This window comes from Homo sapiens, chromosome 2, assembly GCF_000001405.40.
Source record: "Homo sapiens chromosome 2, GRCh38.p14 Primary Assembly".
Classification (NCBI taxonomy): domain Eukaryota; kingdom Metazoa; phylum Chordata; class Mammalia; order Primates; family Hominidae; genus Homo; species Homo sapiens.
In genome coordinates this window covers 19,586,804-19,610,943 of record NC_000002.12, presented here as the reverse complement: position 1 = coordinate 19,610,943, position 24,140 = coordinate 19,586,804, and the positions used below count along the sequence as shown (strand labels likewise).

The window sequence follows — 24,140 nt, the reverse complement described above, 5'->3', positions numbered from 1 at the left end:
ATAGAGATGGGGTTTCGCCATGTTGGCCAGCCTGGTCTCGAACTCCTGACCTCAGATGATCCACCCTCCTTGGCCTCCCAAAGTGCTGGGATTACAGGCGTGCGCCACTGAGCCTGGCCTTCATTGTGTTTCTAAGGGAATTAAGGGACTCGAAGGACATCCTTACCCTCTGAGGTTGCTATCAGGTAGATAACCAAATTCATTTCAGAGCTCCTGGCTCCACAGTCAAGGACACATTGTCCAGCTTACTGGAGCATCTCTACTCTTTTCAGTTCTGCTGTGTCTTGATTTCCTTTTTGAGCCCCACTGTAGCCCCTTCCTTTACCAGCTATCCCCACAGCCCTTGGGCCAGGGTAGCTGTTATCATCTACCCAAGCAGCTGAGAGTGGAGGTAGTTTCAGAAGTGAGCATTTAGAGAAGTCAGTGGAAAAATAGGTTTGTTGCCTATTAAGCGTCTAATGTTTTTGACTATTAATGGAATATTCTGTGTCATATTGGGGTTCTTTTGGGGGTAGGTAAAAAGATTCACTCTACTTAGAGCACAGATGAGGTAAGGAGGGACCAGGGTGGGGCAAGAACAGGAGGAAGCAGTGGTCACAGGTGGGGCTGGCAGTTTATGTCCCACTGGAGCTGGGGAAGTGGAGTATGCTATCAGACGGGCAGGCAGTCTTCAGTTATTATCTGTTCTCACCATTGCTGCTGCTGCTGATGCTGCTATTGTTATTAATACCATTATGTCAGCACCACATATTTAGGGCTGATTATGAGTGAAGCTCTGTGCAGAACCTTTCACCTGCATTACCTTACTTAATCCTCCTGACAGCCCTGCAGCTTTAGTGTCATTGTCCAGATGAAGAAACTGAGGTAGAGATCGGTGATCCAGACACACAGACCTGTAGGTGATCCAGATACACAGAGTGAGAACTTGAACCCTACAGGGCTTCAAGTTCCATGTGCTTTCACCTCATCCTGTTGTCTTCCTAATCAGGCAAAGTTTCAGGGGCAGAGATTGAAGAAATGGTGGGGTATTCCAACAGAAGGGACACAGCAAAAGGAAATCAGGATGTGTGGGGTAGAATGGGTCCTAGAACACTGAAGAAGTGAGCAGAGAGAGCTTTCACCTGGGGCTGTGGATTTGGAAGCCCTCAGTATAGGGGTTAAAGCCAAGAGAAGGAATTAGCATGTCTAGCAAGGGTAGAATGAGTGAGGAAAGCAGTGGGCCAAAGAGAAGGTTGGAAAACACAAACAGGTAAAGGCTGGGCAGAAGAGGAGAAGTCCAGGGATGGGCCTGGGAACGAGTAGCCAGAGACATGGGAGGGGAAGAGGAAAGAGAATGAGTGGAATAAAAATGGGAAGAACTTGGGGCATCTTGGCTGCCAAAGAGCTCTTGTCTTCCATTCAGGTGGCCGAGCTGGCACTCAAGGCTGGAGTGGCTTCCAATGCTAGGGGAGCAAAGGCCTCGTGCAAGCGTGCTGCCATGGCGCCAGAAGCAGAGAGCAGGTCTGGTCCTAAAGCCAACATTCCCTGCTCCCCACGGGAAGGTGAACTCTGTCCAGCTTGTTCCAAGCACAGTCTCTACTGTTTGTTCACACTCAGAATACTTTTGCTAAAGCTCTGCAAAGCACTTGGATGATGCAAATCACCACTCTTTGCAAAGCACTACACCAAGGCTGGCTACTTTTACTTCAAGCTGCCTGAACATAATTGTGTCTGGGAAGTGCTCCTATTCCTGTCTGTCATCAGCACCTTTGGATTCAAAGTTGATCAAACTGTTCACCTCAATCTTTGCAATTTATATGTTTTTAAAGCCCTGGAGGTTGTGGGTATGGTTAACTGAACACTTCGATGAGTGTCAGATCCTTGCCATTTTTGACACCTTCTGAACATCTTGAAGCTGTTGTACAGACAAATCCTCAATTTATTTTGGACCACACTCTGGGATGGAATTGTTATGAGAGGTGTATTGGGAATATTTTTGTTGAATATTTTTAGAAATCTTGCATTCTTTAAAGGCATTCTTATCTTCATGAGATTCTACTAAAAAACCTGTTTGTGGGAGACACACAGTGGAATTTAAGAAAGAAAAGTGAAGGGTTCCTTTGGGGAAGGGGACAGTCATGTTGACTTAGAAAGCAATCACACTGCTGGCAAATGTATGGGATTCTGAAAGCTTACAGAAAGGGAATCTCCTAATAGACTAAGCTAGGCTTAGTGGGTTATCTGTGAACATTATGCAATATTTTCATGGGGTGAATTGGAGGAGAGGGAAGTAGGAAGAAGAGAAGGAGGAGAAAGTGGGAGGCAGAACAAAGAGGCAGACATTTCATTCCAACAGCCAAGGACTTGCACACTGGAAACAGTGACCCTGAAGTGCGCATCAGACTGTTGGCTCACAGGAGAGGCATGGCAGGACCCTTTCTTCTCTTTCCCAGTCACCCCCAACATTATTTGACTCATCCTTCTGGACATATTTCTAGCTGTACCTCTGAACTCTGAATGTTCCCCAAGCTCATTGCAATGCACAAGTGAAAATTATTCATATGTTTGGAGGTTACACAAAGCTGAAAATGCTGTCAGAAGTAAAGGGATACAGTTACACAATCAGGCCGATCTGTTATGAGAAAAGGACAGCTTTGCTGGTAACAGCCTAATGGCTAAGTGCTGAAGACAGGTAAAGCAAGATGAGGAGTCCCTTCTGGTCATCTTCAGGGTAGAGACAGTTGTCGTGAGCAGATGCTTAAGAGGATGCACATCAATCAAGGCAAGTGTCACAGAGCTGGATGCCAGCCACCCAGCTGGTTGCATGGAATCTTCAGAGATGACTCAGGGTATGCAAAATCAAAAGCAATGGAAGGAGAACAGACAGCAAAGTGCCAATACACTTTAAGACCAGGACGAGGCTGGGTTGCTCAGGGTCAGGGCAATGGATAGTGAGTCAGAATCTTGGGACCTCTCATCCTGTTTCTGCAAGGATCAAAGCAAGTGATGTTCTGTCTCACTCAAGTCACATAGCGAACTTCTCTTTACAAAAGAGGACTTGTAAATCTTCCTCCAAAGCATAAGTCAATGAATCTTTGGATGTTCCAGGAAACTTAACTGCTGAAGGGTGCTTGTGTTGATATAACTTAAGAGAAGGACTGGCTTTGCCACAGGGAGGCTCAGTGGTGTCCTCTACTGTGTGGTTGGGGGTGCTTAGAAGGTCTCCTATATGCAAGAATCTTTTTCACTATACCAGACATTCCACCATTGCAGTTAATTCCTTTGGACAAAATGTTACTGCCTAGAGCTACATCTCTTAAAGTACAGTATCCTGGGAAAGAGGTAAAGCCAGAATGTCTGCGCATACCAATGACATCCTTTCTCTCCGAGTCATTGTGAGACTTCTGGATAGTTGGAGAGGGGAAGGACGAAGGTTATGGAAGAGAAGCACGTGGTAGGAAGAGGGGAGGCTCTTGCACCTTCTGGAAGTCTTCAGAGAATTAAGAGCCTCAAACTCCAAAAGACATCTAATGAAATAAAAATTATTCGTCTTGGAACTTCTTTTTTTTAGGTTTCTGATCACATTTCAGGGTTTTGAGTACACAGAGTCATTGGCTTTCAGAGTTGCTGACAGTATTATGTTCCGTTAGAGCATGGCATCAGCCACCCCAGGGGCGAAACCCCATACCCACCACTTCTGTCTGTCTGTGACCATTTTTAACCACTCCAAGCTTCTGATTTCTCATTTCTAAAGTGCGGATAGTGATACTTACCTCCCAGATTTTCTATGAGTTTAATATAAAATACTAGATAATGAAAGCCCTAGTACACTCCCTTGAAAAATTTGTAAGAATGCTATAAAATGCAGAGTGTTCCACTTTGTGCAGGAAACCTTTTTTCAGCTCCCAAACTCCCTCAGTCTTTTAGTGAACTACAAGAACTACAAGAACAGTGAACTCACTACCACATGAGGCAGCTCTCTTCATTTCTCTAAAACTGGAATTGTCGAGAGATTCTTTGTTGAATCAGTATCTGCCTTTCTGCACCTTCCATCCATTAGTCATAGTTTTACTTCGTGGATTTTCTTAGCATACTTCTTACAATTCCCTTAACCTCTGCCATAACACCCTTAAGATCTTTTGAAGACAGCGAGGAAGTATTCTTGATGTCTTCACTTTTCAAGGCTAGGAAGTTCTATTTCCATCAAGCCGTACTCATCATCTAACATGGGTTAAGCCTCCAGCCACCTGTCTTGCCTCCTTTGGACTACGTAGAGATTTTAAAAAATCAATTTGCAAGTTATACCATTTATAGGTTTGGTATTTACAATTTTGTATAATTTATATAATGTTTATATATTTATTTTATGCAATTAAGAGCCTACTGTGTCGACACTGCACTGGGGGATGATACAATTCGGTGTCAACCACCTTCGAAGCAGCTTTTCCCATTTCAGCCTCCACAGCAGCAGGTCCTTCAGCTCTAATTGAGCATCAACACCAGTCAGTGCTTCTCTTTCTGTGGTTAAGAATCAGTTTTTAAAATTTCTAATCTAAAGCAAACCAATATTTTTGTAAAATACAATAAAGATAAATCACTAGAAGAACTAAATAAGCACATAAAATACAAACACAAAGTAGATTTTTATCATTAGATTTACAGACATAAAATTATGTTTCAATAAATGTTAGCAAAACAAACAGCACAGGAAAACAAATTACACAGATTGAACATGTTTATTACAGGCATGAATATAGGCAATTAATATAAAGAATTGTTATTACATTGGTAAGTTTTTATCATTCTGCAATAGTGCAGTGAATTATGAGTGAAATAGGGATTTCTGTATTAAAAATCTGTACAGGTTGTCTGAATGAATACTAGGATAAATATTTTAGTACAACTAATGAGTTAGCTTCTTGCTTACTAATTAATCTGATCAAGGTTGGATTAATAACCTATATCTTGTATTTCTCACTCATTGGTTCTAATTCTTTCAGACCACAACATTCAAACCACAACTAATACGTCTACTTCCCCCTATATGTGACAACCTGCTAGACATTTAATAGCAGGTGTCAAGTATCCTTTAAGTTTTCTCTTTCCAGGTAAGTCATGCTTTTCCTCCACTTACCCGTCATATGACATGGATTCTAGGATCTTCACCTAGTCACTCTCTGGCTCTCTTGTTGTTAAGTGTTCCTAACATATTGAGTGTTCATTTACCTCCAATACTCTAATAGACATAGTGTTTTTGTTTTCAATTGAATGAGAAGACTTTGACAGATGGTATAAATGGATTTAAGTTCTAGCAGAAAAAAAAAAAACGCCCCTCACATGTTTCTCTCTCTGTTTTTTTTTCTCTCTCTCTTCTTTCTAAAGCTTAAAATTTTTTCTGCTTGGGTAATACCATTCAGGACATAAGCACGGGTAAAGATTTCATGACGAAGATGATAAAAGCAATTGTAACAAAAGCAAAAATTGACAAATAGGATCTAATTAAACTAAAGAGCTTCTGCACAGCAAAAGAAACCATCATCAGAGTAAACAGACAACCTACAGAATGGAACAAATTTTTTGTAATCTCTCTGTCTGACAAAGGTATAATATCCAGGATCTATAAGGAACTTAAACAAATTTACAAGAAAAAAAAAACTCCATTAAAAAGTGGGCAAAGGACACAAACAGACACTACTGAAAAGCAGACATACGTGTGACCAACAAACATATGAAAAAAAGCTCAGCATCACTGATCATTAGAGAAATGCAAATCGAAACCACTATGAGATATCATCTCAGACCAGTCAGCATGGCTATTATTAAACAGTCAAAAAACAACAGATGCTGGCAAGGTGGTGGAGAAAAAGGAATGCTTTCACACTGTTGGAGGGAGTGTTAATTAGTTCAACCATTGTGGAAGACAGTGTAGTGACTCTTCAAAGACATAGAGGCAGAACTACTGTTTGACCCAGCAATCCTATTATGTGGTATATACCTAAAAGAATATAAATCATTCTACCGTAAAGACACATGCACATGTATGTTCACTGCAGCACTATTCACAATAGCAAAGACATGGAATCAACCTAAATGCCCATCAATGATAGACTGCATAAAGAAAATGTGGTTCACATACACCGTGGAATACTATGCAGCCATAAAAAGGAATGAGATCATGTCCTTTACAGGGACATGGATAGAGCTGGAAGCTATTATCCTCAGTAAACTAACACAGGAACAGAAAATCAAACACAGCACATTTTCCCTTATAAGTGGGAGATGAATGATGAGAATGCATGGACACATGGAGGGAACAACACATACTGGGGCCAGTCGAAGGGTGGGAGCTGGAAAGAGGGAGAGTATCAGAAAGAATAGCTAATGGATGCTGGGCTTAATACCTAGGTGATGGGGTGATCTGTGCAGCTAATCACCATGGCACGCATTTAACTATGTAACACACCTGCACATCCTGCACATGTATCCCTGAACTTAAAGTAAAAGTTGGAAATAAAAAAAAGTTTTCGCTTTTTTAAAAGGGAAAGACTACAACCGTTATGGAAAACAGTATGAAGGTTTCTAAAAAAATTAGCAATAGAACTACCTTATGATTAGGCAATCTTACTTCTGGCTGTATATCCAAAGGAAATGAGATCAGTATCTCAAAGAGATATCTGCACTCCCGTGTTTAATTGCAGCATTAACAAGTCCCAAAATATGGAAATGACGTAAGTGTTTGTCAACAGATGAATGAATAAAGAAAATGTGGTATATATGCAATGGTATATTTTTCAGCCATAAAAAAGAAAACAATCCTGCCTTTAGTAACAATATGGATGAACCTGGAGGACATTATGTTAAGTGAAATAAGCCAAACACAGGAAGACAAATACTGCACAATCTCACTTATATGAGGAACCTAAAAAAGCCAAACTCTTAGAAGCAGACAGTAGAATGGTGGTTACTGGGGCTGGGGAGCAGGATGAGATGCTGGTCAAAGGGCACAAACTTTCAGTTCTAAACTAAATGAATTCTGGGGATCTAATGTACATCATGCTGTGTATAGTTAATAATACTCTATTTTTTTTTACTTGAAATTTGCAAAAAGAACAGATCTGTTTTATAAACTTTTATTTTAGGTTCAGGGGTACATGTGCAGGTTTGTTATACAGGTAAATTGCTTGTCATAGGGGTTTGTTGTACAGATTATTTCATCCCACAAGTAATAAACATAGTACCCAATAGGTAGTTTCTCTATCCTCTCACTCCTCCCACCTTCCACCCTCAAGTAGGCCCTGGTGTCTCTTGTTCCTTCCTTCCTTCCTTCCTTCCCTCCCTCCCTCCCTCTCTCCCTCCCTCCCTCCCTCCCTCCCTCCCTCCTTCCTTCCTTCCTTTCCTCCCTCCCTCCCTCCTTCCTTCCCTCCTTCCTTCCTTCCTTCCTCCCTTCCTTCCTTCCTTCCCTCCCTCCCTCCCTCCCTCCCTCCTTCCTTCCTTCCTTTCTTTTTAATTTTTTTTGAGATGGAGTCTCACTCTGTCACCCAGGCTGGAGTGCAGTGGTGCAATATCGGCTCACTGCAAGCTCTGCCTCCTGGGTTCACGCCATTCTCCTGCCTCAGCCTCCCAACTAGCTGAGACTGCAGGTGCCCGCCACCACACCCGGCTAATTTTTTGTATTTTTAGTAGAGATGGGGTTTCACTATGTTGGCCAGACTGATCTTGAACTCCTGACCTTGTGATCCACCCGCCTCAGCCTCCCAAAATGCTGGGATTACAGGCATGAGCCATTGCACCTGGCCTTTCTTGTTCCTTTCTTTGGGTTCACATGTTCTCAATGTTTGGTTCCCACTTATAAATGAGAACATGTGGTATTTGGTTCTCTGTCCTGTGTTAGTTCACTTAAGATAATGGTGTCTAGCTCCATCCATATCCCTGCAAAGGACATGATCTCATTCCTTTTTATGGCTGTATAGTATTCTATGGTGTATATGTACTACATTTTCTTTATCCAATCTATCATTAATGGGCATTTAGGTTGATTCTATGTCTTTGCTACTGTGAATAGTGCTGCAATGAACATATTCATGCATGTGTCTTTATGGTAGAATGTATTTTTTTTTTGAGACGGAGTCTTAATCTGTTGCCCAGGCTAGAGTGCAGTGGTGCAGTCTTGGCTCACTGCAACCTCTGCCTCCTGGGTTCAACTGATCCTCCTGCCTCAGCCTCCCAAGTAGCTGGGACTATAGGCACACGCCACCATGCCCAGCTAATGTTTTTGTATTTTTAGTAGAGATAGGGTTTTGCCATGTTGGCCAGGCTATCTTGGACTCCTGGCCTCAGGTAATCCACCGGCTTTGGCCTCCCAAAGTGCTGGGATTACAGGCACGAGCCACCGCACTCATCCCTATGGTAGAATAATTTATATTCATTTTGGTGTATACCCAGTAATGAGATTGCTGGGTTGAATGGTAATTCTGTTTTAAGTCCTTTGAGAAATCACCACACTGCTTTCCACAATGGCTGAACTAATTTATATTCCCACCAGCAGTGTATAAATGTTCCTTTTCCTCTGAAACCTTACCAGCATCTGTTATTTTTTGACTTTTTAATCATAGCCATTCTTACTAGTATGTGATGATATCTCATTGTGGCTTTGATTTGCATTTTAAAAGAGCAGATCTTAAGTGTTCTTACCACACACGCACACAAAATGGTAACTCTGTGAGGTGATAGATACGTTAATCAGCTTGATTAGGACAGTTATTTTACAATATATGTGTATATCACATCATGTTGTACATCTTAAATATATACAGTTTTTGTCAATTATACCTCAATAGACCTGGAAAAAAGTAAAAGGGGCAATTGGCCATACCGGCTTCAGCTGTGAACAGAGGTACAGTGTTGGTGGTGAGAAAATTGTCCTGCCTTTTATGGGGCTTTTTCCTCTACTCCATTCACAGGGGCCTTCTGACAGTTATTTCATATTTCACACACTTTTCTGCCTTCAGGCCAGAAGATATACTCTTATGTCTCCATTCATTCATTTATAGATATGTATTGATATGTATTCAATACTCTTCTAGGACCTGATTGTATAATGGTAAACACAACCAATGTTGTTCCTGCTTTCATAGAGTTTTCATTTAAGTGGATAAGACAGACAAACAGATCAAAGGATGAAGAGAGGTTTCCAGGTATGTGTGTGTGTGTGTGTGTACGTGTGTGTGTGTGCAGATATAGAAGAAAATGATTCCCAGTACATGCAATGGAGTGGGAGTAGGCTCCAAAGCATAGATTGGATTAGGAGAGTAGTCCTTCTGGTGCCTGCTGCATTGCTGATTTCTAGCTCATGAGCGAACACTGGGATGTGAGTTCCACAGAGGCAGAGCACATGCTCGCCTCATTCATCCACCTTCTCAAGGTCTTTCACCAAGGAAAACACTGGTCACTGGGAGAAGAAACGAGGGCTGGCAGGCCCCCAAGGGGGCATCAGCCATCCACATTCATCATGAGAAAGATCAAGGCTGGAGATGGGTTGAGCAGATGCAAAGCCAAAGCTTCTGTGCTTTCCAGCAGAGTCTGCTGGAAACCTGGGAGGAGACAAGGCTGGGTGAGACCCATGGTAAGGCCCTTATGGGAGTTTGATCCGTTTGGCATTTTTACTTTATATATGAAAGTCATCTCTTTGCCAAGGCCACAGACCATGCTGTCTGCTTCTTTGAATCTCTTGATCAGCACAGAGCTGGGCATGCCAAGTGTACTCAGAGAGTTCTTGCCACATTATTTACCTTGCAAATTTGTACCTACTTCTTTGCCCTCTGATGGGAGGAAGGCACAGTGCATTGTCCCTTGATTTTACTGTAGGTCCACACTGGAAGAGTCTCCTTTCTGTTCTGATACAATCATATTCCAAGGCCCTATTCCAGTTTTTTCTGATCCATGAAGTTTCCTCTGATTAGAACAGCCCGTAGGTTCCTCTCCCCTCTCTAGGCTTTTGTTGTATTTAAAGCCCTCACACCTAACACCAGAATTCATCTCAGATTGCAGGACATGGATGAGTTCTGAATGCAGGCTCTCTTGGAGGATAACTGGGCTTCTCTCTTCTCTGTGGGCACAGCCTACAGGGGACTGGGCTAGCTGGCCAGCACCCATCCAGATAGACTCTTTGGGAAGGTACATCCAGGAAGGGTGGCTGACTTGGGGACCAAGATTGCATGTGCACCCCCTGGCTGCATAGCTCATTTCTACTGTCTGAATCACATCACATGAGCCTAATGTTTGTTTTGGAGAAGGTTGCAAAATTAATGGATGAAATAAATGCAGCAGATGCTACCTATTAGAGAAGAATTTTATGTAGCAGGCCATGAAAATTTTGTTTGCAAAATAAGATCTAATTAGCTTGGCTTGTGCTAGAATATAATGAATTAAAGTGACAGAGTAATTAATAACAATAGTTTGGGTCTCTTCCCCAGTTTTGCTTCCATTTGTGTTATTTGTTGAAATCGTTTTTGCCAAGGTCTCCTATTTGAAACCAACCCTGAGAGTTTTTCCTCAATGTTCACATGCCCCCATATGGGAGATGATTCTAGCAAAGCAATTTTTTTCCTATAGGCTCCATGATCTTTATTATTTTGGCTGCTGGAAAATCTTGGCTTTGATCCCTTCCTCGTTGGTCTGACAAGTGTTTTGAGGAGTCTCTTCTGTTTTGCCATCCATCCGTCATTCTGTCCATCCAGCAATGTTTTGCCATCCATCCATCATTCTGTCCATCCAGCAAACATCTATGAGCATTAGAGAATTCAAGTAAAAGATGGTGCTGTTGTTAGGGAGCTGATAACTTAGTGAGAAAGACAGAGAATAGTGTCTCAAGAGCTATAATACAGCTGTGTGCTGGGTATTATCAAGAACAGAGTGTGTGAATCAGCTTGGGGGCAGTGAAAATAGTTTCAGTAAGTTTTTTTCAGCTTTATTGAGGTATAATTGACAAATAAAAGTCTTACACTGCATATTCAGGGTATACAGCATAATACTTTGAGATATATATATATATATATATATACACACACACACACACACATATTGTGAAATGATCTCCACAATCAAGCTAATTAACATGTCTCTCATCTCATATAGCTACCATTTGTGTGTGTGTGTCTGTATGGTGAGAATACTTAAGATCTAGTTTCTTAGCAAATTTTAAGTAAAGAATACCTTATTAGCTATAGTCACCATGTTGTACATTAGGCATCCAGAACTTATTCATCTTATAACTAAAAGTTTATAACCTTTAACCAACATCTCCCCATTTTGCCCACCCTTTAACCCCCAGTAACCATTGTTCAACTCTCTGTTCCTATGAGTTTGACTTTTTAAGATGTTGCAGCAATAGTGCAGTATTTGTCTTTCTGTGTTTTATTTCACTTAGTATATCTTTTGTTTTATCCCTGTGGTCACAAATGACAGAATTTCCTTCTTTTTTTAAGTTGGAATATTATCCCATTGTGCACACACACCACACACACACACACACACACACACACACACACCACATCTCCTTTATCCATTTATCCATCAGTGGATACTTAGCTTATTTCCACAGTTTGGCTATTGAGTTTCACTGAGTTTTGAGGGAAAAACAGAAGTTATATTGAGTGGAAACTGCTGATGGATTTAAGAAGAGAATGACATGATTGGATCCTTAGCTTAGAAAGATTACTCTAGAAGCACTGTGGAAGACGGGTTGAAGGAGGACAGGGAGGAACCCAGAGGATAATATCATATCACATAATCCAGCAAGAAAAGCCTGGGGCCTGAGCTAAGACAGAGCCAGTGAATAAAGGATGGCAAGAGATATTAATACATAGACTTTAGAAGACTGGAGACTGATTGGGGCCCGGGGGTTGGTAACAGAGAGTGAGCTGGACGGGGTTATTAATAGAATGAGACTGGGTTTTCTGGATTTGTGCTTGGGTGGATGGTGACATGAGGAACACAGGAAAGAGGCAGTTTTGGGAACAGGAGAAAGGGGAAATATGAGAGCTAACATTTATTTAGCACTTACTGTTAAACAGGCATGTGTCTAAGCAGTTAATCTCACAATGGCTCTGTAAGCTAAATACAATTATCCCCATTTTACCAATGGAGAAACTAAGGCACAAATGAACAGGGTTTTAAAGTTAGTTAGTGGCAGCGCAGTTTGTTTCCTGGGCTAATCCCACCCTGCCTTAGAGATGATGGGTTCACATTGATCTTTGCAACATCCACAGGCCAGGCAGGCAGTTGCATTGTAGGTGTCTTCCTCAAAATGATAAACAAGGACACCTTTCAGTAGGGTCATTTGGGGCAATTAAAATGAGAAGCTGACAAAGTTCTCCTTAAAAGCTTCAGCCATACATGTTGGCTAGTTGCTTTCTATAACTTGATTTGTGAAGTGCTTCCTGCTGCTTTAGATGTCTGATGCCACTCAACTGGACACATACTTATTAAAGATCTACTATGTGCTTTGTGCTCTGCAGTGGGCTATATCACAATAATCAGAACAGATGTCATCTCTTCATCTGAGTTTACAGAGAGCATTTCTATCAAGGACTGGGTTTGGAAAAGAGCTGATATTGACTGTTCCTCCTTTGGCAACAGTACTAATCACCCTTTTGAAGCTTTGGCTCTCACTGTGAGATAAAGGTCTGTAGTTCCTGGAGGTAAATTAGGAGAGAGAGAAGAGGAGGTGATAATCAGGGGAGCTTTCCAAAGACCTCTAAAGTTTCATCAGCCCGGGATTCCTGATGATTTCCCATCTTCCCAGCCTATGATCTCACTGCTTCCCAAGCACTCACTGCTGTCGGTAGTTGTTGAAAATGTGCACAGCTTTCTGACTGTTCCTGATCCTCTCTTCCTTGGTTCAATCCCAAAACTTCCACGAAAAACCTGGCCTCATTAAACAAGACCTGTGGTGTTCAAACTCAAAGGAAAAGAAAATAGGATAGAAATCATGAAATACTTCCTGACAGCATGTGTCTCCAGGGGACTGGGGACTCTTAGCAAGGAGGGAGATCAAACACTGGAGGGAGGACTGGACAGAACAACCTAACTGTCAGGAGATAAATAAGGTGATCTCTTGGGTGCGTCCCGTCTCTTAGTTCTTATATTTCCTGAACTCTCAGGCCCTTCAGAGTTTGTTCAAGATGAGTAGCTGCTTCCGAGTAGGACAGATCGCTCATTCCAACTTTGGTTAGTTATACTGAAGGTCTGAATTTTCTCAGCAAGTGGGCTCAGGTCTGTCTTCTGGTCCCCCTGTGTGGTATAAACCCATAAGTGGTTTTCCTTTAAGGGAAGCCCCTGAGATTTTATCCCATAGAGCTCAGAGCTCCTTCCCATTTTCCTTGAAACCTCTCCTTTTTAACACACACAGAGGTTCTTTATCTCCTCTCCCCTGCCACAGTTGTGTGGGTGAAATTCCTCACAATTTAAGTCTTGCTTCTCATCCAGGTTAGTGTGGTCTGTAATTGCCTTTGGCTCTTCGTACTCAAGCCATAGTCTCTCCAGGATCAAAATTTGGAAATTTCATTACCCCTTGCTTTGGTGTCCTGAGCAAGTCCATGTTTTGGGACATGGCATGCCTTCCTAACCTTTCAACCAACAAGAGCATCAGTGTCGTTACACGATACCTCCAGGTTACAGTTTCTAATTTAGCACACTTCCTCTGTAGGGACTATCCAAGAGAAATATTTCTCGCGTGAAATTATTTTTGGAGACTTTCCAAATCAACAAGTCACTTCTCTACCCTCAAGGGGTTGGAGGGCTGTGGATTTGCCAAAGTTAATAATATTAATCTGTCCATCATATTAGAAATTCATTGTGTTTGAGAATAAAGGGAGCTATTCTTTCCGGGTCTGACCCTGAGTGGAACTGCTTTCTTCTCTGTGGCATCCAGCCTGTGGAATGCTTTGGGGTGCACCCCTGAATCCAAGCTCACCCTTTTCTTAGGATTTTAAATCGAAGGATGCCACGTAATCATAGACAGCCAAGAGATTGCTGTGCTCCTCAGTGCTTCTAGCCTTAAGACTTTCCTGGCTGGAGTCCTGAGTCCTTCCAGGGTTGCACTGTTACATAAAAGACTAACTATGTAGCCTTTGGGGTATGGTTATTAGGAGACCAGTCCCTGCAAGTAGGTGGTTGGGATCTTTGCCTTTTGTTAATTCATGACCCAAGAATTCAAAGTGAAATGGTTAGCCCAGGAGAAAAAAGGCAATAAAAATATTTCTGAGCATTTACAAGCACTTGTTTACAATAAGTATTACCTTATTTAACTCTCCCAACAACTCTATGAGGTAGGAATAATTTCTATTCACCTTTTACAGATGAGGAAACTGAGGCATGGTTAAGTAACTTGTTTAAGATCACATAGCTAATATGTGGTGGAGCCAAGATTTGAACCCACCCTTTCTATCTTCCTAAACACAGTGATGTTCAGGTGTTCATTCAAGCTTGGGCTTTACTAGCATTTAGTACAGATATCAGCACCTCACACAGTGTCACATGGTAGGAATTCAGAAAATACTGAACTGAAAAAAGCCTGGAAAGAGATGCCAAATTTAAGATCCCTTTCACACACATGCATGCTAGTTTATTAAACATGAGGACATCTTGGTTCTAAATCAGGCAGTACATTTGTAAGGAATTATTTTAGAATTGACACTGAATTAGTTAAAGAGGTTTGGAATTATGAAGTCTTCATATTAGCTTTCTTTTGCTTGTAAAATAAACATGCTTGCAATGAACTTTAAAAATTAAGATGGTGCAGTATGTGCTTTGTTTGGAGTCAGTCATACCTGGTTTGTTCTCAAGGCTACTATTTTCTGGCTCTGTGACCTCCATGTAGGCCACAGAGTTCTTATCACAGAATGAACAGTAGGGGGTACATGATTCTTCTTAGATTTTGCAGCCCCAACTGTCTACAGATCTAGGATTCTAAGAGCCAATGGAAGGTATTTAAGTCTGTGGTCAATTAACTAATTGATCTTTTGATAAGCACTATATTAGTCAGGGTTCTCTAGAGGGACAGAACTAATTGGATAGATATATGTATGAAGGGGAGTTTATTAAGGAGTATTGACTCACATGATCACAAGGTGAAGTCCCACAATAGGTCTTCTGCAAGCTGAGGAACAAGGAAACCAGTTTGAGTCCCAAAACCTCAGAAGTAGGGAAGCCGACAGCATAGCCTTCAGTCTGTGGCTGAAGGCCCAGGATCTCCTGGCAAATCACTGGTGTAAGTCCAAGAGTCCAAAAGCTGAAGAACTTGGAGTCTGATTTTCAAGGGCAGGAAGCATCCAGTGTGGGAGAAAGACAAAGTCCAGAAGACTCAGCAAGTCAGCTTCTTCCATCTTCTCCCGCCGGCTTTTTTCTAGCCGCACTGGCAACTGATTAGATGGTGCCCACCCAGATTCAGGGTGGGTCTGCCTCTCCCAGTCCATTGACTGAAATGTTAATCTCCTTTGGCAACACCCTCACAGACACACGCAGGAACTTTACTTTGCATCTTTCAATGCAATCAAGTTGACACTCAATATTAACCATCTCAAGCACCTATAAGGCATTTTCTAGAGGCACTAAGGATTTGCAGAAAGTTTAGAAGCAATCCCTGACTCAACCTAGTTACAGGGATGGAATCGGTGGGTAAATGGAACCAGCCGTTGTGTTCTGAGGAAATGCTGTGTGGGTGACTGGGATAGTGGACACCAGCAATGTTCAGACGGACAGAGCTGTGTGGTTCAGCATGGTCAGGCAAGTGGCATTTAGGGATGAGAAACACTCTAGCAATGGACAGGAGAGAGAGAGGGGATTCCAGCTAGGGAGCTTGGCATGACCAGAGACATGGAGGTGGAAGATGCAAGGCTGATTCTGGGAGGATGGACAGGAGGGCTCATAGTTTGTTTAGCATAAAGTACACTTTAGTACCCAACATTCCCAATCAGAGCAATACTGGCTGGGTAAAAGTAGGGCATTCTAGATTCTGATCTTGGCTTTTATCCCTAATTAGTTGGTGACACGAAACCTCTCTGGATGTTTCTTTTTTCCCCTGTAAAACAAGAATTTTAGAATAAATCAATGCTTCACATACACTTTCAAAATATGGAACACTCAGATAATAAAAATATGTGTACAGACTAACTTGGACAGGATTAGGAGGCATCTATGTGGGGCTTGGAGAGAACATTTATCACATATTTTATAATTATGACAAAAATAATATATACATTATTAGAGAAAATATAACAAATTCTAGTATTTTAAAACTTACTTCTTTGGTGATAACTTTTTAAACATAGTTTTTATTCTTGAAATGGCTGCACACAAGTCCTCATCGATACTTTTTAATGATGATGCCTTCAAATTCTTAAGTCATCATTTAAGATAAATGATGTTTACACAAATTCTCAAAGAAATAATGCTTGCTCAGTGGTATGGAAAAAGGTAGAAGAGTTTTCATATTAATTTATTGTCTTCTAGTGAATAGAAACCTTTTCTTTCCCTTAGCCAGACTATAGGTGATTTAGTCTCTTTAAAGTTTAAATTACAACATCAAATACATGATCCTTTATTTAAATTTAACAGGATTCTTTTTTCTTTTTTCATTGGTAGATGTAATGCCGAAATTTCTTATGGGAATATAATTGGATTTTAAATCCAATTGAATATATAACTCCAAAATGATAATTTTTTCATATGTTGCTCTACTGGTCTTAGTAATTCTTAGTTATTAGTATTCAAACAATTAGCATTCAAAGTATTACTTAAATATTAATGAACCATATTATTAACTTCATTTTTCAAAGATGAGTTTTTGCTTCGAATCCATAAGCCTTATAAATGTACTTTAGTGTGTTTTTATAGGGACTTTGCAATTTCCAATTAAGTTAATTCAGGTGTCAAACTACTTCCTGAAGCTAATAATTGTCCTTAAGCAAATCTGCAAAGTGGAGCTTATTCCTCTCCCTCACCCCATGAAATTTTTTTTTCTTTACTAGCTCATACCCTCTTTAAAATTTTTCTTTTGGACAGCTAAGATAATTTTATTTAAAACAACAGAGTTATATTGTGATCAAATTTCTTCGTATAAACTGTAGTGCATGGGTTTTATTAGGATCACCATCATGATAACATGATTTAATATAGAATTCAGATGTTTGTACAGGAGACCCTGTGAATAAAGCTCTTATCTGAATCCCATGATGTCAGATGTTGAGGGAGATGTAAAACCTGTTGTCCTACTGTCCTATCATTGCAGCAAGACCACTTCAGGTCACAAACCAACATCACTTTTCCTTCATATCAGATTTGTTACAGACTTACAAAGTATTGATTTTAACACCTTAAGTATTTATTTTACTTCCAATAGTTTGTATTGATGTTTTTCTACAGAACAAATAGTATTTTTCCAATCATTTCTTCCTCATTAGTATTAACTAGTGTTATTAATTGAACAGTTACTATTGTCTATACATTCATAAATGCAAAGTTAAAATATGTTTTAGGCCGGGTGTGGTGGCTCACACCTGTAATCCCAGCACTTTGGGAGGCTGAGGCAGGTGGATCACGAGGTCAGGAGATTGAGACCATCCTGGCTAACATGGTGAAACCCTGTCTCTACTAAAAATACAAAAAATTAGCTGGGCATGGTGGCACATGCCTGTAGTCCCAGCTACTCAGGAGGCTGAGGCAGGAGAATCACTTGAACCCGCGAGCCGAGATTGTGCCACTGTACTCCAGCCTGGGCGACAGAGCGAGACTCCGTCTCAACAAACAAACAAAAATAACATGTTTTAATTTAATGATCTCTTAGATTAATGTCTAGGTCATTTGACATGTTGTCTACTAACAGTATTATTCAAAAGCAGACCCTTTCCTATTTCTTCCTTCTTTTGGCCCCAAACACAGTGCTGATAATCTTTCAGGTTGGTAAAATGTCCAGTTCTGCAATTTCTTGAGGTATTTTGTTCATAGCTTTAATCGACCTTGTAAAAAGATTCTTAAGCTGATCTTATATTGCTGTAACCAAATTAACGAAAGAACTTCGGTCCTTAAAAATGTCATGTGTACACTATAAATATGTATAACTTTTATTTGTCAAATTAAAAAATACCTTTGGTCTTTGTTTTCAACTTGCAGGTACATAAGCATGTTCATATCTTTTTCTTCATAAGAGGGATGTTTTAGAGTGATGTCTGGCATAAGTTTTTTGTTGACACCATTGTTCCATTTAATATATTTGCCAAGGGAAAAAACATTTACGCTGAGGAAGATAAGAATTTGGGAGACAGACAAATGAAACTTGAGACATTCTTCATTATATTGCCATATTGCTGACATATTTTGACTACTCTGCTTATTGTATGAGTCTTCTGAATTTTTTAGCTTAAATCAGAATGACTTTTATAGTGGAGAAATAAATATCTGTAAAAATTATTAAATAAATATCTGTAAATATTTAAATATGAAGTAGAGTCATGCATCATTTATCTACAGGGATACCTTCTGAGATATGTGTCATTTGGTGATTTTGTCATTGTGCAAACATCATGGAGTGTACTTACCAAAACTAGATGGTATGGCCTTCTACACAACTAGGCTACATGGGATAGCCTATTTGATCCCAGGATACCCACCTGTATAGCATGTTACTATACTGAATACTGTAGGCAGTTCTAACACAGTGGTATTTGTGTATCTAAACATACCTAAAAATAGAAAATGTACAGTAAAAATAAGGTATTATAACCTTATGGGACCACTGTCGTATATGTGGTCGCTGAGTGAAACATTGTTGTGTGACACATGACAGGTATTTAAGGGGACTGTAGGATTTTAGTTTCAGAAAATCATCTACATTGTTAAGTTGCACAGAAGCATTGAAAATGTAAGCATATGGTAACAAAATGGAAACGTTCAAATACTAATATAACAACTAAAACTCTAAAATAATTTCAAAATGTGCCTATTATACTCATTTATAAGAAAAATCTTGAAAATCTGATATCTTGGAAGTGTAAATGTTAATAGTATCCCTTAATGAATTAGTTTAATTATAATATGTTCAATATTATCTGGTTTAAGAAATATTATTTACAAAATTTTGACACAGTAATTTATTATGAAGTTGCACTAGGAATCAGAGAATTTTTAACATACATATATATGTACACACACACATATATATGTATACACATATATGCACACACATACACACACACACATATAAAATGCCCACATGCAAATGGGTGGTTTTTATGGACCGCAAAGTTATCATTAGAAAGTCTGCTAACAACTAAACTGCAGATTTCTGAGCACCGCCTTTTGTAGGTTTGCATGTGTGAAGACAGATGAATGTAGCAATTAAGAGGTTTGGCTGTGGAGTCAGACTAAAGAAAATTCAAATTCAAACGCTGTTACTTGTTAGCCCTGTGACTTTGACTTTGGGCAACTACTGAAACTACACCTAATGTTTACAAGGTGAACAGTGGTGCCTACCTCATAGAGTTGTGAGGATTGAATGAGATAGTTTATAAAACATGCTTAGCGTAGTACCTGGTAACTAGTAGGTATTCACTTAATCAATGGCAGCTGCTCTTTCTGTTGCTGCTACTAGTATCATTAGTGAATTTTTCAGCTGGGAGGTTAAGATGCCTTACTGCTTAGCGGCGGTGCTTCCTTTTCCTGTTTTTGGAGCCTGGGAACATTTCCTGGAAATACAGCATGTCAGTGTGGGATGGACCTGAGGGAACATGCACCCAATTGCCCTGTTGGGAGAGTGGGCCATTCCCTCAAGGGGCTCTCAGAGTTGTCAAGGTGGATGGCTATTGGGTGCTATATCCAGGATTAAAGGCCAGGCCTTCTGATTCCTAGTGTAGGATTCTTTCCGCTGCATCTATGAGTTTAAACACAATCTTATTCCTTATGAAGATGTGCTGCTCATTTCACCCCTTCTTATTTGGTTCTCTTCTATGCCAGGTTAGTTAAGATTTCCTCTGGGACAAAGCACATTATTTATGTTCTCCCTGACCTGAAAGAGCACATGGATTTGGTTTATTCTTTCTTCTCCCACTGACCTCCGAGAATTCTTTAGAGGTAGGAGTTTGTGGCTGTCATTTTAAAATTATAAAACTTGAAGAGTTTGATCCATGATAAGGACCTAAAAAATGCACATGATTACTTATTACCAATGGCAATTTTCCAGAGGTCAATGGGTAGGGAGTGACTGTGAGACACTACCAAGAATTTCATGTAATCAATGCCTCTGGTGTTCAAGCCTTGAGGACTGCTCATTCTGGATCCGTGTATGGCTCCTTATAATAACCAGTTGATGATTGACCATGCATATGAAGAGAAAGATGAAAGATTTCTTAACAAAACCATTTGGCCTCAACTTCTGGCAGATGTATCCACAACAGCCAATTATTTGAATAAATGTTAAATGTTAAGAAATGGGTTTTGGTAACATGTCATACTCCATCTTGGTCAGGCAACTAAAAGTGCAATTTTGAATCATTAGGGCCTTGGCATTTTTCATTCCTCCATTGGATACGAGTGCTGCATTTTAATGGTGGAGAGAACTCCAGGAGAGGAACCATTGTTATGAAATCAAACTGAGACAGACATCTGTTTGGAAGACTCAGGCTCATCTCTCATTTCCCCAAAGCACTTCATCAAGGTTAAATAAGAAAACATTTGGCTTCTACTTTTATGTCTTGAACTCCTAAAACTATGTAATCATGTTTTTTTGATAACTCGGGGCCAAGTATGGATCAGGTGTGTCTGTGTTACCTGGCCTGGCTGACGGGAATGATCAAGTTCAACACTTAATTGTCAAGTTTCCCTTTGCCTTTGTGCTGTTTAGATAGAATTTCAGAGCTTGTAAAGGCCTAGCCATAAATAAAACAAGATTGCATGTGGGGATTTGGAAAATGTAACATTTACGAAGCCACAGATGCAGAGCAGAGGGAACGCAGAGTGAAATATTTAATTACTTCATCACTGAAACTAATTACCAATTGGGGAGTGTTTTCATTTGTGGAACATAGATTGATTAGCAGGATCACCAGAGTTCCAGTCTCCTTACTACTGATTGCATCTTTCATAGAAGAAAAATGGGTTAGTTTTAACAAGCTGGAGTCAAACTAGAGACAAGCAGGGTTACCAAAGAGTGATTGCATGGGATTAGTGTTATTCAATAGGCAAAGAGGTATTGAGTTTGGATTTTTTTTCCTTATAGACTATTAGAGATAAATTTTACATTTGGGATTTACTTTTCCGTAATAGGTAAGGTTGTATTTTTCATTCAGGAAGTTAATTTGTTTGTTCCACAAAAAGTTTCAATCAATGTTATATAATGTTCAGTGACCTGGAACCCTGAGGCTAAGTTTTGTCCCAGATACTGGACATAGATATATTGTTTAAAGACCAAATTTGGAAAATTAGGACCTCTGTAGCAACTTTTTTTTTTAACACAGAAATATTAAAGCTGTGGTCTCATGATGGAGCTCCCTGATCAACAGGAGTCAGGCTCTGATGGAGCAGAACTTTGTGGGGAGACTTTTCTTGGGGGAGTGGAGGTGCTTTGTTTGGCTTCCATATTCCAGGCTTGCTTCTCCTTCTTGGGATAGCTCTGTGTCATACAGGTGTCCAGTTACATCATTCTTTCTTGCCCTTGCCCTTGTCAATTCCACTCTAAAAAAAGATGAATTTAAGTTGATGTGTCCCTGGTCTGTTTTTGAGATAGAAAATAGTTTCAGGACCCAGCTTGCAGGTGGGCTATGGCTCCTGAAATGATGCTGTGTGGGCAGGCACATTCTCCTCGTTGGTGTGGAGGTTCTTGCTGTGGGTGACATTAAGAGGTGGCCTGGCACCTGGCACAGTAGGAAGAATGCTGGGGCAAGGCAGGGACCTGGGTTCTGGTTCTGGCTTTGCCGCCTACTCTCTGTCCTTGGGTACATTTGTTGATCATTTATTTCTCATGGCTTACATATGAAGATCATATAAGATAGGGAATGGGGAGGGTATGGAAAGGCCTAAACTTTGTTCAGATTAAAATGATTATTTTCATTTCATTGGCTATGAAGGTTGATTATTTGGATGCTACAATAATAACTTAGAATATAGCGTATCCTGTTCTAATTTTACTCCATACTGGAATTGTGATTGCTACTTTGAGACAGAGACAAATTCTGAACCCTAGGCTGTGAATTTGTGGAGGAAGGATGACCTTCCTCCGGACCAGTGTACTCTCTTGACGGTTGAGTCTATGGCAAGACTTTTCCAGAGCAGCCAGTGCCCTCTGATATGGTTGATTGGTCTGGTGTTAAGGACAAAACAGTTTTGAAGCCATGTGCCTCTCACCGCTCTTGTCTGTGGTGCAGCTCCCTGCTTTCCTGGCCTCGGGATTTTCCAGAGTGGACAATGGATGACCCCAGGCTGGGCCATGGCTGCCTCATAAAAGGGATGAACTGTGTGTGATATACGTAGTAGAAACACTATTGTCTCAAGGAAGGAATTTAAACCCGAGGGCTTCACACATTACTTAGGTTAAGACTTTCAGGATTGACATAGAAATTGATGGGAATCCAATTCAGGGGCCCCAGAGGCACAGTTTAGGAGGAGCAGACAGGGTGAGGGGATAGACTCCCTCTCTACTCCTTCACTTTGCAACTTTTACCCCACAGCAAGGCAAAGATTTCTGCCTGACATTATAGGCCAATGCTAAAATCAAAATATTTAAAGGAAATGAAGACACAAAACAAATGATAAAAACAAAAAAATTAGAAATTAAAGGCCTAAAGAATCAAGTGAATAAAAGGGGGAAAGTCTTAAATTTAGAAAGACAAGAAACAAAATGATGGAATGCTTCAATGTAAGCATATATATATATATAAAGAAAAGAGATAAAGTGATTAAAATACCTGAAGATAACTGAAAAGTTAAAAAGAAATTTTGGCCAAACAAAAAAGGGAAGTAAACATGTACCAAAAGATTTAGAGAAATAAAACAGTAAAACTGTAGAGCTGAGGAGAAATAAGAGAAAATGGAAATCAGAAAGTAAAAGTTTAGATAGATAGAAGGTTAAATGTGTAAAGAATACTCAAAAGCCAAATAGTACTTTAATGATTGAAAATAAAGTTACCTAGAAATAATGAAAAAGAGGCAAAATATAAACTTTTTTAAAGAGTGCCAAAAAAAAGTGCAAAAAACCCTCCCAAATTTCTACAACTCTACAACAGAGGCAATCAAAAAGATTTCTTTGTAATGGTGAAGTTCCCACAAATTTCAACTGAGTCTTGTGTATTTATCCCTTGGGTATTTGTGATACTTCATAAAGAAGATTCTTAAGTAAGATTCCTAGGGCAGGGGGCATCGGCCCCTCCTCCAATCTTTGAGATAGGAATCTCACATTTTCTTAGGCATCTGTAGTGTGTTATACAAACATAGGTGTGAATTTCAGTGTGAATTTCATAGCATAGTGCCCTCTGAAGCCCATCGGCTGGAAATTCTGGACCAATCTGAGAGTGGGGATTGAGAAACATTGTTCTTAGCCCTTAATTCCAGAAAGGTAAAGACATCTTAATAATGCTGTCAGCTCCTGGAACCTTATCATTTTCCTGTCAGTGGAGCTACACAGTTTACATCTCATTTATTCCTTACAACATTTTGAGATAGGTTCTATTAATATTCCAGTGTTACAAGTGAGGAGATTTATCTAGCCCCGTTAAATCATTTATCTGGAGTTCATCAGCTTGTTAGTGTTGGCACTGAAATCCAACCATTGAAATCCAAAGGCCATGTTCCTTTATTTATTTATTTTTATTTTATTTTATTTATTTATATATTTTTCATGATTTTTCTTTTTTTTTTTTTTTAAATTATACTTTAGGTTCTGGGATACACATGCAGAACGTGCAGGTTTGTTACATAGGTATACACGTGCCATGGTAGTTTGCTGAACCCATCAACCCATCATCTACATTGTGTATTCATCCTAATGCTATCCCTCCCCTAACCCCCTCAACCCAGTAGGCCCCAGTGTTTGATATTCCTCTCTCTGTCTCCATGTGTTCTCATTGTTCAACTCCCACTTATGAGTGAGAACTTGCAGTGTTTGGTTTTCTGTTCCT

General features: G+C 40.1%; 1 long non-coding RNA gene across 2 annotated transcripts; it reads left to right on the top strand.

The window, feature by feature from the left end:
- The first annotated feature begins 5,483 nt into the window (after positions 1-5,483).
- Positions 5,484-22,824, top strand: LOC105373459 (uncharacterized). Of its 2 annotated transcripts, XR_939780.2 has the most exons (4): positions 5,484-5,580; positions 9,063-9,173; positions 19,987-20,103; positions 20,528-22,824. It is a non-coding gene; the product is annotated as an uncharacterized LOC105373459 (long non-coding RNA). The 2 variants fall into 2 exon arrangements; XR_001739315.1 differs by having other exon boundaries at positions 19,987-22,824.
- The last annotated feature ends 1,316 nt before the right edge of the window (positions 22,825-24,140 follow it).